A 16,016-nucleotide genomic window follows, 5' to 3' on the forward strand; every position below is an offset into this window, starting at 1 on the left:
CCAAAAATTGCTCTCAGTAGATTCAGGGAACTGTGGACTCTTCCAGTGGGTGAGGAGAGTCAAACAGAGTGAAAAGAAATGAGTCCAGAATGTTAAACATGATTTCCTTTGGTGCCGTTTTCCATTAGCTCCTCCTCCCGCAGGGCGTGGAGAGCAGCCGGTTACTCGAGGGTAGGGCGTCTAGAGCAGCCGGTTACGCGAGGGTAGGGCGTGGAGAGCAGCCGGTTACGCGAGGGTAGGGCGTGGAGAGCAGCCGGTTACGCGAGGGTAGGGCGTGGAGAGCAGCCGGTTACGCGAGGGTAGGGCGTGGAGAGCAGCCGGTTACGCGGTTACACGAGGGCGGAGGGCGTGTGCCGGGAGCACAATCCGGGCCGAGGCTCCTGGTAAGGGAGCAGAGCGGGAAGCTGATCCCCCACGGATTCTTAGGGGGCCGACTTCCCCTGTGTTGAAGATTCATCAAAGACTGATTCGAGTCTGTGTTCAGCATGTGTGTTTTAGATTAGAACAGTGTTGAGAATTTTTATATGGGGCCCAGTTTTAGCAGGACATCATTTAGGATCTTTACAAACGAGTTCAGGGTACTTCGTTTTATCTGTTGTCTTTGAGCCACTGAGTGAATTAGTAAATGTTTGCAAATGTGATTGCATCAGTGAAGAAGAACATATACCACGAGTTAAAATAAATTTCCCGTGCTGCTGAAAAATCAGTGCCGCCATCCTCTGACCCTGCTCCTCCCACGCGCCCTGCAGGCTGTCTCCCTCTGGGGTCGAGAGAGCTTCACAGACCATTTGGGAAAGAGCCAAGCAAACACACTTCTGCAAGCCATTTGCATAAGTAGACATAATCCATACGGAATGATGCACTGTTCGGTTGTAGTTTCATTCGTCAGTGACCTGCATCTGCCCGCCCAGTCTTGAGTTCAGCTCCATCCCTCCCTGCAGTTCCGCAGCCTCCGGCTTCCCCACCTCAGCTTGGCTGAGAGTTTCACGTTCATCCAAGTGCTTCTTTACAGACTCACTCCCAGCTGGAGGAGGCAGAGGGTAAGGTACATTTTCGTGCACTCCGGAAAAGAAACGTATTCAACAATGTCCATGTAGCTTTTGCTTCTCTATTGATAATTGCTAATGTGGTAGTGAGAGCTTTGTTTGTAGGAAGAGTTAATATCTTTTCTAAAAGGGTTTTTTGACAGATGGACATTCTTCAGTTTTGCTGTCTTATTTGTTAAGCAAAGTTAGAAACATAAGTGAGAACAGGCGTGGCTGGCCTCTAACACTGTCAGGGCCAGGACTCAGGGCCTGGCCACCCGCACACCGACAGTGGCCAGTTATTGCCATCACCGTGCCTGACCCAGAGGGTTTGGTTGCCCTTCTTTTCTGCTGCTTCCACAGAAAACAAATTGATTGTGGCTTAATCAGATGAGATGGGAATGACTGGCAGGTGGGGAGAAGAAAGGAAAGGCCGAGTGAGGATGGCCATCCATCGAGGCCACTTCCCTGCTCTTTGCCATTGAAGCCCATGCTCCTGGAACCCCGTGTGTGTTCAGAATGTGCAAGCAGAAGAAGAAGAGGGAGCGGAAAGCACTGGGCATCAGGGCTTTCCAGGGGAATGTCTTGACCTGGCTGGCAGTGGAAATTCACACCTTCAGAAACCTCTAGAGTTCATCGTGGCCAATCCTGGGACATGGACTTAGGAATGCCCAACCCCGCCACCCAGCCGTGGCAACCCGATTCAAAACCAAATGCACCAAATGTGAACTCGAAGGCCATAGCCCTTGCCAGCGACCCAGCCCTGAAGCGGGCATGATAGCCCAGAGAAGAGGCCTTTGATGTAAGATGATTCTTAAATCGTGCATTCTTTGCCTTGCTTTTCTCGGCAGTATGTGTTCTGTCAATCTGTGATCTGAGTAGAAAGAAGAAAGTGTATTTTCAAGGTATGAGGGGCCCAGAGGACACTGTCCCAAAAGCAGTGGTTGTGAGAGTGGCTTTGGAGTCAGGCTGACAGTCTGGAAACTTCCAGGTCCGCTCTGAAGTGCCGGCTGCATGACCAGCCCTCCAGCCTGTGTCCGCTTCGGCCTTCTTTGTGCAAGTGAGAGCATTGCTGATCCCCCCGGGGTGGCGAGGGGGCGCACGTCAGTGACCTCGCATGGTGCCTGCCAGGCACGTGGTCCGTGTTTCATGATTCTTTGAGAGCTTTGGAGCAGCTCCAAGAAGACTCTTTTACTTTGAAGAGGTCCCCTGGGAAGCTGTGGTGGGACTGGAAGGTCGCAGGACTTTCCAAAATCTAAGTCTCTCCAGAACAGAGCTGCTCCAAGCTTTAGTCTCCACTCAAAAGGGTCCACTTAGTAAGTTCTCAGGTCCTTGGCTTAGTGCCAGCTTCCCAGTAGTTTGTATACTAGATGCCTTGGGAATAAAACCAGTTCCCTAAACCTATCCCGTGCTCACCCACGACCCGTGACAGCTGCCAAAGGGACAGACGCAAAGGCTCCTTCCTCAAGGCCCCCTGCAGACAGCACTTTCCACACTGAAGGTGTCAGTGACCCAGCCAGAAAACCTGCTTCACCACCTCCTGGATAACTGCATAGGATGAGAACATAGATTTGGGTCTCTTTAAATATGAATAGGTTACAAATTGCCTTTTTAAATATTGCTTGAGATCAAGTGGTAGTGGTTATATATGGAGTCAAGCAGCTGGGATATTCATTCAAGGCGTGTAATTTTCTTCATTCTTTGGACAAAACACAAGCAGGTTTTTAATTTTGAATAATTGATCTTCCCTCCCATACTGTGGGCAGGTGTTGATGGTTCCCCACCTTGTTAGCCTGAAGCCTGTTCATCCCTGGACCGGCCATGACATGCCCAGTGCAGTATCCCCCACGGTGGGGCTGGCAGCAGCCCCTCCACACTATGCACAGAGCAGTCTGAGTCTGGAATCGTCTCTTCAGCCTTACAGCTGTTCCATCTGTTATTTTCTCCAAACTCCTCTTCCCTGCATTTCCAAGCAGCGTCTTCTCATGATTACAGTCACTTTCAGAGATGAGCTCATGCTGATACCCAATGAAGAACCCAGTTCAGAATTTTCTTTTTTTTTCTTTTTTGTTTTTTTGAGACAGGGGGTCTTATTCTGTCACCCAGACTGGAGTACAGTGGCATGAACGTGGCTCACTGCAGCCTTGACCTCCCCGGTTCAAGCAATTCTTCTGCCTCGCCCTCCTGAGTAGCTGGGACTACAGGCATGCACCACCAAGCCTGGCTAATTTTTAAACTTTTTGTAGAGATAGGGTCTCACTCTGTTGCCCAGGCTGGTCTTGAACTCCTGGACTCAAGCAGTTCTCCCACCTCAGCTTCCCAAAGTGCTACAGCTGACTATAAGCGTGAGCCACCATGTCCAGCCCAGAATTTTCAAATTAAACAAAACTAACCCTCCAACATGTTTCAGTACAGTGGCCTCAATACACTATTCCTCATGCAAAGCCTTCAGTTGAAAGTGCTGGGTAACTTGGATTTGCCTGTGTGTTGACCATCAGTTGCTGCCTAACAGATTATCTGCAGCTCTGTGGGCTAAAACCACAGGGATGTATGACCTTCCTATTTCTGTGGGTCTCGAGTCCAGCACAGCTTCTGGGTCGCACTGGCTCAGGTCTGTCCTGAGGTTGCAGTTAAGATGGTGACCGCAGTGTCTCACCTGAGGGCTCAGCTGGGGCTGGAGAACTGGGCTCCGGGAGGCTCCGTCATACACCCGCTGAGTTCTGCTGCTGTTGGTGAGAGGCTGGGTTCCTGGCCTCATGGTTCTTTCTGTAGGGCTTCTTGTGCGTCTCACAGCATAGCAGCTGGCTCCCTGCAGAGAGGGAGGGAGGAGGAGGAAGCCACAGTGCCTTGCACGGCCGGGTCTCAGAGGTCTCTATGTCCCCTCCACCTGGTTCTTTTTGTCAGACGAGTCACTAAGTCCAGGCCACACGCAAGGGATGGGAATGAGACTCTGCCTTTTGAGGAGTGCTCAGGAATGCATGGCCGCATTTAAACTGCCACACTGTGGCCGGTCAGCTGGGTCTGTTCCACTTCAGGATCCACAGGCCTCTCCTGGCCCTGCAGGACAGGCTCCCCTGCCTCCACTCCAGCCCGTCCTGGTGGTTGTGAGCCGCACTTAACCCTGCCAGGATGCGGCTTGTACTGGGAGGCCCATGGGCTCCGAGAGGACTTCCCTTCAACCTCCAGGCACCTTGAAACTGCCCAGCAGCCAAACCTCAGAGCTGTGGAAGCTCCTGGACGTTTCAAAGACCCACTTAATATTTAATAGTCAGTGCAGCATTAATTTCATTGCTCCCCGATCCCACATATCGAAACCTTTCACAGTTTAGTACAGGGATGATGGTGAAAGAGAAACCACAGGGAAAATCCGAGGCAGTGGAATTGTTTAATTTCTGGTTGCTTCTCCTCTTATTTGTAATTAATATCCATTCAGCATCTTTAAAGCTTACAAAATGCTTCAAGTACATTCTCATTGGAGTTCCATGATTTGTAAAACAGGCATGTGAAAAAATGGGAAGCTAAGGAAATAGGAATTCAGAAAAGGTACACTGAAGGTACGCTGAAGGTCAGCCTGAACTTGAACCCACGTCTTCTGGCACCGGACATCCCTGTTCTTGTCACTGCGGCACTTTGCTCTGTGTGTGGAAAGCGTGAAGGGCCCCTGCAAATGGACATGATGCTGCCTCCTCCACAGGTTTATTTTTGTGAAATCAAACAGAATACTGTTTGTGCTTAAAAACCATCCTGCGCCCCCATCTGTAAAATACATCGTCCCCGGTACTTCCCAGCAGGCGCTAAGCACCACCCACACTGCCGGCGCCTGACCAGACAGCTCCATGGAGCTCCTGACCCAGCTTCAACCCGTCGGGAACAGCTCCCAGGGAATGTGCAGGAAGGTGCCTCCAACACCCGGCCCTTTCTGCCCCTCGGCCCCTGTGGTCACTCTGCCCTCCACAGTCCTTCTGCCCCTGTGGCTGGTCGCTTACTGCTCTGTGCATCTTCCTGAAGCACTTGGCACTGTTGCCTCATCTCTGTCCTCTTCCTCCTATGCCCTCGCCTGGGCCCTCAGCAGCTTCCAGCAGGGAGGGTGTGGGTGCAGTGATTTGGATCATGCCCCTACTCCTCAGAGCCTCTTCCCAAACGAACCGGGTGTGGCGTGCTGGGCCTTTATTCTTCTGGGACACAAACACGGGACTGCTGATTGGTCTCTGATATAGACCCTGGAGTCTGCTCCTTTTGTCTGGGGCAAAAGGAACCAAGGAGGAAATTCCAGCCGCACCACATTTGCAAACGACACACTGTCGGGCTTTTTTTGCAATAACTGCATTTCCTAAATAATTCAGTCTTTGGATTGAGAACGTGTCTGTCACTTTCCTTTATAGAAATAACCTTTTGTAAATTAATGTACTGTTACTTTATAAAGCCAGACAACTGTCTCTAGATAGACAGCAATAAAAGCTACCAACTGTGAACTGCTGTTTCTTTTCCTTTCACTCATGGATGCTCTTCTGCATCACACTGGGACCTATCAATTGACATTAAATGACACACCCTACAAATAAAACAATAGTCACTGAGGGTCAGAAGGTTGTGTCTGATATGCCTATGTTCCTGTCAACAATAGGGGCTTTCTCCAGCTGTCCCCTTCTCGGGCTGAAGCACCTCAGTGACCCAGATCCCTGCAGGCACTTGGCGTCGTTTTGTGTGTCCCTCTGCCCCAGCCAGGAGAGTGCTTTTTGCAGAGGGAGGGGTGTAGCCTGCCTGGTGTCTCCGTGTCCTACCTGTGTGCCCTCCCAGCTGGGTAGGTGGGTCTGGAGGGGTGTAGCCTGCCTGGTGTCTCCATGTCCTACCCCTGCGCCTTCCCAGCTGGGTAGGTGGGTCTGGAGGGGTGTAGCCTGCCTGGTGTCTCCATGTCCTACCCCTGCGCCTTCCCAGCTGGGTAGGTGGGTCTGGAGGGGTGTAGCCTGCCTGGTGTCTCCGTCTCCTACCCCTGCACCTTCCCAGCTGGGTAGATGGGTCTGGAGGGGTGTAGCCTGCCTGGTGTCTCCGTCTCCTACCCCTGCGCCTTCCCAGCTGGGTAGGTGGGTCTGGGCCAAAAGCAGCTGCTGCAGGTGGAGCTCCCGTCACTCACATGCTCTGCGTTTGATGCCTCTGCTAAGATGGAGCCTCTGTTTCTGCATTTATGCATCATTGGGGTGGGAAACTCTGTTTCCTTTTTTCTAGACCTTTCTCTTCCTGCTGCCCTTCTGAAGGACCTCATTCCCCCTTCTCCCCTCATTGGCCGTGATAGTCCACAGGGAACGTCAGCCCCAGCGCAGCTTGTGCTGAGACCACCATGGCCCTGTGGTGCGGGTCTTCTCTCAGGCCTTGCGTGCTCACTACAGAGGTCTGGGGTGTTTCTGCAGGGTTTTCTCCTCCACTCAGCACGTGGAGAGATCGCCCATGGCATGGAGAGATGGCCCAGACCCACAGAGACCTCGCCGCATAGAGGATTTGCCCAGACCCCTAGACCCCGCCACGTGAGGAGGTCACCCAGGCCCGTAGGGCTCCCGTGGTGTGCGGAGGCGCAGAACAAGCTCAGGAGTCTGCTGACCTGGTGCGCCACACCCCGGGGACCGCCAGTGGGCGTGTTCGAGGCTCCGCTGACCAGGGCGCTGTCAGGTCTGGTTCGGGCAGCGGCTTTGCCTCTGTGATAGGTGTCCCGTCCCTCTTTCTTCCTGTGCTCCCTCTACACTAGCCTAAGGGAAGTCAGTTTCCTTTTTTTAATAAATTTTAATTTTTGTAGATACATAGTAGGTGTTTATGGGTTATAGGAGATATTTTGATACAGGCAGGCAATGCGTAATAATCCCATCAGGGTAAATGGAGTATCCATCCCCTCAAGCATTGATCCTTTGTGTTGCAACAATCCAATTATGCTCCCTTAGTTATTTTTTTAACGTACACTTAAATTACTGTAGTCACCCTTGTACTAGCAAACACTAGGTCTTATTTGTTCTATTTTTTTTTTGTACCCATTACCATCCCCACTCCATCCCCCACTACTGTTCCCAGCCTCTGGTAACCATCCTCCTGCTCTCCATCTCCATGAGTTCAGTTGTTTAAAGTTTAGCTCCCACAGATAAGTGAGAACATACGATGTTTGTCTTTCTGTGCCTGGCGTATGTCACTTAACACAGTGACCTCCAGTTCCATCCATGCTGTTGTAAATGACAGGATACCATTCTTTTTTATGGCCGAAGAGTACTCCATCGTGTATATATGGCAATTCCTTTATCCCCTTGTCTGCTGATGGACACTTAGGTTGCTTCCAAGTCTTGGCTGTTGTGAACAGTGCTGCAGCACACACGGGTGTGCAGTGATCTCTGATAGACTGATTTCCTTTCTTTTCTTTGGAGTATATATCTAGGCATGGATTGCTGCGTTGTATGGTAGCTCTATTTTTTGTTTTTTTGTAGAAACCTCAAACTGTTCTCCCTAGTGGTTGCACTGATGTACATTCCCACCAACTGTGGACAAGGGGTGAGGGAAGTTAATTTCATGGTAACACCAAGCCTTTCCTTTTTGTCAGTTTCTGTTCTTATGATCATTCATTAGAAGGCAGATTCACTGAAGAATGTCGTTTTACCTAGTTTAAACTGGCTAGATTCTTTTCAAGGTTACAATTTTGAACCCCACCTTGTCCCCTGAGTCATCGAGGTAGCCCAAGATAACGGTTAAGAGGAAACATCCTTTGTGTTGGCAGCAAATTGTTCTCCAGTTTCTGTTAAGTAGTGTCCCTTGCAGGTGAGGAGAGGCTGCTTTCATCCTCAGCAGGTAGAGACCGGGGAGTCGGACCAGCGGAAATCCTCACCTCCTGGGGTGGGCCGTGTGGGGAGTGTTAACTGGCAAGACGATCTAAATTCTCTACCCAGATCACAGCGGCTACAGCAGCTTTGCTTTCAGAGAAGAAAACACAAAAAAAAGTGCCCAAAAGTTAAAAAGCAAGTGGTAAAACCGGGAAGCGACACGTTGCACAAAACGTATTTGGTACGTTAAAAAGGCCAGAAGCACGGTGCCCTGTAGGAATGAGACTGACATCTTCACAAAAGGTCATCATCAGTCTCATGTGACATTCTCCATGCTTTTTTTTTAAAGACAGGGTCTCATTCTGTCACCCAGCCTGGAGTGCAGTGGTGCAGTCCCTGGTCACTGCAGCCTTGACCTCCCAGGCTCAGGTGATCCTCCCACCTCAGCCTCCCAGGTAGCTGGGACCACAGGCGCACACCACCATGCCCAGCTAATGTTTTGTATTTTTGTAGAGATGGGGTTTTGCCATGTTGCCCCAGCTGGTCTCTAACTCCTGGGCTCAAGTGACCCACCTGCCTCGGCCTCCCAAGGTGTTGGGATTACAGGCTTGAGCCACCGCTCAATCCCAGAAGTGTTGGGATTACAGGCTTGATGCTTTTCTTAAAAAACATATTCCCCATGTATGATGTCTGCAGATACTTCAAGAACATCATAAACACCACTTTCACCATCAGCTGGGAGCAGAGTCCCTCCCCATTCACTGTCGCCCCACGCCATAGGGACTTGGTGATGTTTACAGTGTGTCCCTGTGGGCGAACGGGATAAGGAAAAGATGGTGCACATACACTGTGGAATACTACGCAGCCGTAAAAAAAGAACCAAATCATGTTGTTTGCAGCAACATGGATACAGCTGGAGGCCATTATCCTAAGTGAATTAACACAGAAACAGAAAACCAAATAGTGAATGTTTTCACATGTAAGTAGAAGCTAAACATTGGATTCACATGGACAAAAAATAGACCAGAGACTACCAGTGGGGGGAGGGTGGGATGGGAGGAAGAGCTGAAAAATGATCTGTTGGGTCCCATGCTGACTACCTGGGTGATGGCTTCAATCGTACCCCAACCTCAGCATCACCCAGTATACCCAGGTAACCTGCACACATACCTCCTGAATCTAAAATAAAGTTGCAATTTAAAATAAATAAAATATCAAATGTTTTAATATTTTTTAAAAGTATGTGTGAACATCCCTTGACAAATTGTTTTCATCCAGAGAAATTTGCTGTACTGAGATTATATTATAACAAAGTCTTAGACAAAAATTGGTTCCCATGATTTTGTCCTTCTCATTTGGAATGATTGCAGATCCTGGCCAATTTGGAGCAAGGCTTAGCAGAAGACGGCGGCATGAGCAGCGTGACTCAGGAGGGCAGACAAGGTGGGTCGGCCGGACTTTGCTGACTAGATGCTTCTCGGACATCACTGACAGACTGAGCCCAAAGCCTCTCGCTTCCTCTCCTTCTCCTTTCCTTTCTGTAGTCAGCACTGCACGTGTCCACTCGTGCATTTGCAACTCACTCCTTTCTTGGGGAAGCCAAGCACATCACTGGGTGATGCTGTGGGTGCAACGTGCAGCCTCAGACCCGAACCCTGCGCCCGGGGAGAAGACACGCCTTCACCACAAAAGCACACGGCCCGGAACCTGCCACGCTGAGTGGTCTGAGTGGGCGCGAGGAAGGAGCCCAGCCCAGCCGAAGGGGCCCAGAGGGGCCTCTGCGTCGGGGAGAGAGGCCTCTGCGTCGGGGACAGAGGCCTCTGCGTCGGGGACAGAGGCTCGGGAGGGTGCTTCAGGAGGAGCTGGAGAGGAAGGCCCAGAGCCTGGGGCAGGCTGAGGGACCTGGGCAGTTCCCTGGAGCATTGGAAACCCCTTGGGGGACTGGGTGGGTTGACATGAGCTGATCTGCACAGTGAGGCCATGCCAGCTGCAGCTCGGGGAGTGCGTTAGCCAGGAGCAAGCTTCCGATCATGCTTGGAAACCTGGCCTGAGTGCTCCCTCCCAGGTAGCCCCACCCTAGCCTCACTCCCTCACTCCTTGTGGCAGCATCTCCCCACAGGCCTGGTGGCCTGGTCATCTCCTCCTTCCCACAGCTTCTGTCCTACTCGATGTGCAGCCCAAGTCAAGATCGGGTGGTCTCCGTTTCCGCAGGTGTGCTGGGGTTTCTGGGGAACTGCTGGCTGGTGTGAGCTGAACGTGTGTGAGGTGTGTATGTGTGTGGTGTGTGGATGTTGGGTGTGCATGCTGTGGCATGTGGTGTGGGTGTGGTGTGTGCATGTGTGTGCACTTGTGCACTCTCTTTTCAGTAATTTAATTGCAGGTAGAGTAACAAGGTCTGAAGGAGAGACGGCACTGTCTGCTCATGGATGTCCCATTCAGCATTCTTGGCAACCAGTCATTTTACCCCTGGTTGGGCTCCTGCTTTGGTGGGAATGAGCATGTAGTTATCAGAGAGCAGAAGGCTGTTCCTGGAAATCTAACAGAAGGTCACACCCATGAGCATTTATAAGGAGGGTAGGGGAGGATTTAGAGCAGGAAAGGAATCTGCAAAGATCATCAGAATAAATATGCAATTCATTGAGACAATCCATATTTTACATCCATTAAGAGAAGATATTCAGAATTTCTTTTCACAAAAATAATGGTATAAGGGGAACATAAGCAGCTAATGTGTTTTTCATTGCTGAAAGGCAAAGTGAGTTAAGTTTTTAATTCTAGCAATTAAGTTTCTGTGTGTTCTCCTGAAGCACACCGTAAATGCACATCATTTCTAGGTGATTGTTATCTCACAGTGGACGCTTGGTGCCAGCGGTGGGTCAGCTTCAGCCTCCTAAATCACAGCCTCAGAGGCAGCCAGGGACACACGGCTCCCAGTGCCCAGCGATGAGGGAGGCCAGGAGCACTCCCAGGGCCTGGTGCTGCCCAGGGTGGCATCTTGGCACTTTGCAGTTGGAAGTGTGGACTTTTCTTCGAGGAAGTAGACACAGCACAGGCGCAAGGAGCGCTGGACAAGGGGTCAGATGGAAGCGTCCCTGGCCTCTGTGGACCTCAGCCTGCCTGTCAATAATATGTTCATTTCAGATTAGCTCAGTCCTCAACCTGCGCCTTCCTCCTGGTCATCCCAATGATAAACAGGCACCATTGGTCAGCCCACCCTCCCCCCAGGGCAGCTCCCAGGGGACCTTTGCAGACCCCAAGAAGGCCACAAAGCCAGTTTGGAAACTACTAGAAGAGATGGGCCCTGAAGGTTTGAAATCAGTGGAGGGATGGCTGCTAACTAAATAATGTGCAGGGGAGAGCAGGGAGGGACGGGCCAGGCTCAGGGTCGCGGTCAGCCACCGTGTGGCAGCAGGTGCTAGGGAAGGAAGCCAGCTGCAGGGGAGTGCCGAGTCCCCAGCGGAATGTGCCAGCCACTTGAGTTCTGGAACACGGTGTAGCACTCCTTGGGGGAACCGGCGTCTGCACCAGCCCATGGTCGGGAGGCAGGGGAGGCCTCATGGCTGGGCATGGGTGGGGCCCTCCGGGTGGCCTCCCATAGGTCAACTGCGAGAGGCTGGCGGCCACCCTGGCCAGTGGCCCTCCCAGCCTTGTCGAGCTGCAGGCAATGTCGTCGTTTCTGTCAGCTTTGCTCCTTTTCTCAGGGTTCTGGCTTTGGAAACGGGGCCCCCGGTCGGACCATTTGGCCTTGTGTCTGGGCTGATGCTGAGCAGCCACCCTCCTGGTTCTCTGATGCCGAGGGTCTCTTCCCAAAGCCACCTCTGGTCCCAATGCGAGTGCTGTATTTTCTGCCTCAGTGCAGCCTGCAGCATATTCAGCATTCCAGGCCGAAATCCAGTGGTGTTAACAAGAGGGATCTTTTAAAGTTAAATTAGAATTCACAGGACCCAGTAATTGAGGGCTAGAAAGAGCCTCGAATTTATTTGTGCACTTACAGGCTGCTCTTACCTTGTAGCCTCTATCCGGCTGTGGAGGTCACGTCTGGGCCGGGTGATGTACTCCATGGCAAACTGTCTGCTCCTGATGAAGGTACGTGGGTGGCCAAGCAGGGCTGCCATGTGATCTGGAAGAGCGGGGTCAGTGGGAGCCGCGAGGGAGCCGCTGGTATAATAGATGCTGGCAGGGACCGGCCGTGCAGAGAAGCCAGCTAAGTACTGGCTTAACAGGGAGCCCAGTGACACATTATGGGGCTATATGTACTTTATTTCTACTGCAAGAAATTTCAACAGAATGTAGAATTTAGATGATCAGATTTCATTATTGAAATGTGGGTCTAAATGATTTAATTAAAAGTATTGTTCATTTTCCCCCATTTTTCTCTGAACTCCATCCCCAGAAGGTGTCCTTTGTTCTCCCTATCTTCGTGGAGGGTGTTTTTTTCACCTCATGGTTTTGATTTTATGATTGATGCTTACAACACCTGAAGACAGGCTTCCCCACAAGACCTTCTTAGGACGTCACCCCAGAGCTCTCAGCCCGCAGGGAAACAGCTTAGAAATCAAGGAGCTGAACTGAGGCTGTCATCTGTTTTTCCGTGTCTCCTGGCTCTCGCCAGCCTGTGCAACGGTGTTTTTTGGCTCCTCTCTTTGTTTGGAACGCACCCCACACCTGGCTCACCTCCCACACTGGGCATCAGGGTGCCCTGTGTGGAGCTAGTGTCCCTGCAGCCAGCTGTGCGTACTGAGAGCTACTGCAGGAATCAGCTAGCAGCAGGCGCTCCGGAGCAGTGCTCGTAACACCTCCTGGGCTGTTCGAAGACAGCGACCTTAACTCCCACACCCATGCGGCTTTCATGGGGCCAAGGTCATTCCTGAGCTTGATTTTCAGCAAGGCAGAGCAGGCAATTTACCAGCGGAGAACTGTGCTCACGGGCTCTGTCATGAACCCTGAAGTGGCAGCCCTGCTTTATGCACGGACCCTGCAGCATCCCCAGAGGTGACTGTGACCCCGGGCACTGCTCCGAGCAGGCTGGGTGCGGGTATAGATTCACAGCCATCAGTGGCTCAGGCATTCCATCAGGAAGACGTGCAGCCCGCACCCCGGCTTTAGCGCAGCCCCAGTGCCCAGTGCGGGGCCGCTGCCTTTGCGCTTCTGCGTCTACGTCAGGCTGGACGCACAAGGAGACTCGGCGTCCTGTTCATCCTCGGTAGCAAGCGACCGTGACGCAGCCTCGCACTACTGCAAGCCTCAGCCTCCTCCTTAAAATAAGGGCATAGATCTGAGATCTCTGAAATCCCTCCCAGCTCTGACATTCACACAGCTCTCTCCTCTCCTTCAACACACTGGATAAAGGAAATTACGGTTTTCAAGTTCTGTGGTTTTGCTCAGAGCAGGTTTTTCTTCCGCTGCCACTCCTGAGATAGTCCCACTGAGGTCAGGTGGCCCGCACAGGTGCTTTGTTCTGGTCCTCACCCTCCTCCCACCCGCCCCCTTCCCTTCTCCAGCCCCCTCTGGCTTCTGCAGCAGGGCTTGCCCACCTCTGAGTGGGAGTGAAAAGTAGGCCCTCCTGCTCCCCTGCCCTGGTGGCCTCTTCACCACCCAAGGCTTGGCCAGCAACCAGGTGACCCCGAAGCACCCGGCCTGACCCCTCTGCCTCCCAAAACAGGCCATTCTCCCTGTGCTGCCTGTGGCCAGCCCTGACACCCCCACCTGGCGGTCTGGGCGGTCCGCAGTAGGCCTCCACCTGCTGAGGGCATTGTCAGCGTCACCTGAAAGTCACCAGCTTGCCGGAACATTCTTATGCAAAGACATGAAGAATCAATTATAAATTCACAGGACTGACGTTTCACTAATCATGGGGCTAAAACTCCCCAGGGAGGAAAGTTCCCTGTTCCACTGGCGGGCTTTCATTTGCATTTTAAGACACATTAATAGAAAACGACGGAATGGGCTTTTCTTTGTGGCACTGTGGTAGTAACACCACCACCAGGCTCCGAATGTGAGTCTTCTTCCTGTATTGCTGGGACTCAGTACAGAACATATTATTGCATTTCAAAAATACTTTTACAATGGACATGATTTAATTTGAAAGTTCAGCTTAAGCTTTCATTTTCATGAGTTAAAAAAAGGAGGCAAAAATGTTGCAATTAAAGCCAAGCCAAGCATATGCACTCTCTTGCCATCTAGTGAGCATACAGGGTATTGCAACAGTGTGTGATCTTAATAATATGGGGTATCCTGTTAATTAAATTATGTATATGGGCTAACAATGAGTTATTTAATCAGCCATTTAATTATCTTGAATAACATTTTTATTACAGTGAAATAAATACCAATTTAACTTCTTAGCAATGAAATGTATTCATACGTTTTAGCCCTGGATAAATCTGCATGATATGCTATAATGCACAGTGGCATGTATTATAAAGCATTGAAAATGTCACTATCTTCACTTTTTAAATACTTCTTCCTCTCCTTAGGCCTCACTGTAGCCTTAGGGCACCTGCACTGGCAGACCATATGGATGCAGGTGCCTGCCACCTTAGGTGGCTTGGGCCCCCCCTCCCCCGGGTGCCCCTGGGAGGCCACTTCCCTCCTGGTGTCCCCACAGCTCGCCAGTATGCACATCAGAACCCGCCGTGGCTCCGCACATGATGGAAAGGAGCACGCAGCTGCATCAGCTACCTTCCGTCTTGCTGAAATTAGACTGCAGAAGTCCTTGCTGGTTGCAGAATGGTTGTAAATCTAGTTTCACGGCCTGTAAACACGTGTGGCTGCTGAAAAGAAATGGTGAAGATTGAGCTAAAATAGACTTGTCCCTGGAAGTAAGTCATTCATGTCCTTTACAAAAGCCAAATCCACAGGATCTGGAGAGTAGGTTAAGCTCTCTTGAGGAGCTTCTTTTGGCCATTTTACCTGTGAAGGGCTGTTTCCTCTTCAGTAAATAAAGTCATTAAGTAACCGTCAACCTAAGGAAACTTTGTAACACAATCCCAAATCCTCATCTGCTGTATTGACGATGGGCCCCCTGAAGTGCCCCAGAATTCTTCCCCCAACTGCAGCCCGGACACACAGACACGTGTCATGTTCACACCTGAGGGACTGGCGAGCGCTACTGTTGCTGAGCTGGTGGGAGTGGCTGCCGGCGGGTGCAGGGGCCCCCGAGATCCCTTCTCTGCCGCGCCTGCCCCCGGCCTGGAATCCAGCTTCCTCTCACACGGCTCCCAGGCCTGTGCACGTGCTCTTTGGGAAGAGCCATGCCTAAAGTAACTTCCCATCAAAGAGCATGGCTTGGTTTCGTAAAAACCTGTCTTTTGTCATACTAGATTATCTTCAGAAACACTGACCCCTGGCCCTGAGCACTGAAAGAGCGGTTAGGGTGATGCGGCTGGCCACGGCATCGCCCACTAGCAGTGAGTGCTGCGCCCCCACCACGCCCCCACCCTGCGCTCTCTGTGGTGGCCGCCTCAGCCTGGAGCATCAGTGGCGTGAGTGGGGCACTGGAATGACCCAGTGACACTGCCGGGCTGATAACAAGAAAGTCAAAGCCTGCCTTTTGTTTACTTGAAACCAAAGGTGGGACATGTGTGGGATTAGAACAGACATTGCCCAGCATGATGGGTGCTCGGAAGCCTACTTCCTTCCCCAGAGAAGCCTAGGGGGGCAGCTGCTACTTTTCCCCGAGCTGGTGCAAGCTGGTGAGTGCAGCCTCTGTTGGAAAGCAGGGCTGCTCCCCTAAACTTCTCAGATCAGGGCCAGCCCAGGGTGTGCAGGCCCCACAGCTGCATCTGGGGTGCCATGTCCGTCCCAGCTGCAACCTCAGCCGCCCCGAGTGCCCCCATGCCAGGTCACAAAGCCCTCCCCTGTGTGAGGGAGCTCACACACACACGTCCACACACACACATGCTCACACACACGCTCACACTCATACACAATGCTCACACACGCTTACACACACATGCTCGCACTCGCACAGCTAGACAGCAGAGACAGGCAGCAGGAAGGCGTGGGAAAGGAGACCGAGGCATGTGCTGTCTGGCTCGTCATGGGCGTCAGGCCTTGAATAAAATTAGTTTTAATGAGCTGTACTCGAAGGTACTAGACTGGAGAGAGTCGTTTTGGGTTTTTTTTGTTTTTTCCTTCCTACCAAACTGGAATTGTACTTGTCTGTCTTTCTTTGTAACATCCCAATTAGCAAGCCAGTAAC

At 51.6% G+C, this 16,016-nt stretch overlaps 1 protein-coding gene across 14 annotated transcripts in view, besides 2 other annotated features; it reads left to right on the forward strand.

The window, feature by feature from the left end:
* TRAPPC12 (trafficking protein particle complex subunit 12) overlaps nt 1-16,016 on the forward strand; it is a 99,872-nt gene that overhangs the window by 68,744 nt on the left and 15,112 nt on the right. For 8 of the 14 annotated variants that reach the window (XR_426956.4, XR_007076381.1, NM_016030.6 and 5 more), the window contains 2 exons: nt 9,184-9,256; nt 11,826-11,899. Coding sequence is in view for 11 of the 14 variants with exons in the window: in NM_016030.6 (NP_057114.5) it covers nt 9,184-9,256; nt 11,826-11,899 (147 nt within the window). In the remaining 3 variants the exon portion in view is untranslated. The other 6 variants (XM_011510352.3, XM_047444639.1, XM_047444638.1 and 3 more) reach the window with 4 other exon arrangements.
* Nucleotides 11,385-11,898: an enhancer, noted in NCBI's record as "H3K4me1 hESC enhancer chr2:3463593-3464106 (GRCh37/hg19 assembly coordinates)". NCBI's record gives its function as "activates a minimal SCP1, AML or CMV promoter by ChIP-STARR-seq in primed H9 embryonic stem cells {active_cell/tissue: H9 hESC(primed)}" and the evidence as "EXISTENCE:reporter gene assay evidence [ECO:0000049][PMID:30033119]".
* Nucleotides 12,251-13,118: an enhancer, noted in NCBI's record as "H3K27ac-H3K4me1 hESC enhancer chr2:3464459-3465326 (GRCh37/hg19 assembly coordinates)". NCBI's record gives its function as "activates a minimal SCP1, AML or CMV promoter by ChIP-STARR-seq in naive H9 embryonic stem cells {active_cell/tissue: H9 hESC(naive)}" and the evidence as "EXISTENCE:reporter gene assay evidence [ECO:0000049][PMID:30033119]".

The sequence above is a fragment of the Homo sapiens genome, chromosome 2 (genome assembly GCF_000001405.40).
Source record: "Homo sapiens chromosome 2, GRCh38.p14 Primary Assembly".
Lineage (NCBI taxonomy): Eukaryota > Metazoa > Chordata > Mammalia > Primates > Hominidae > Homo > Homo sapiens.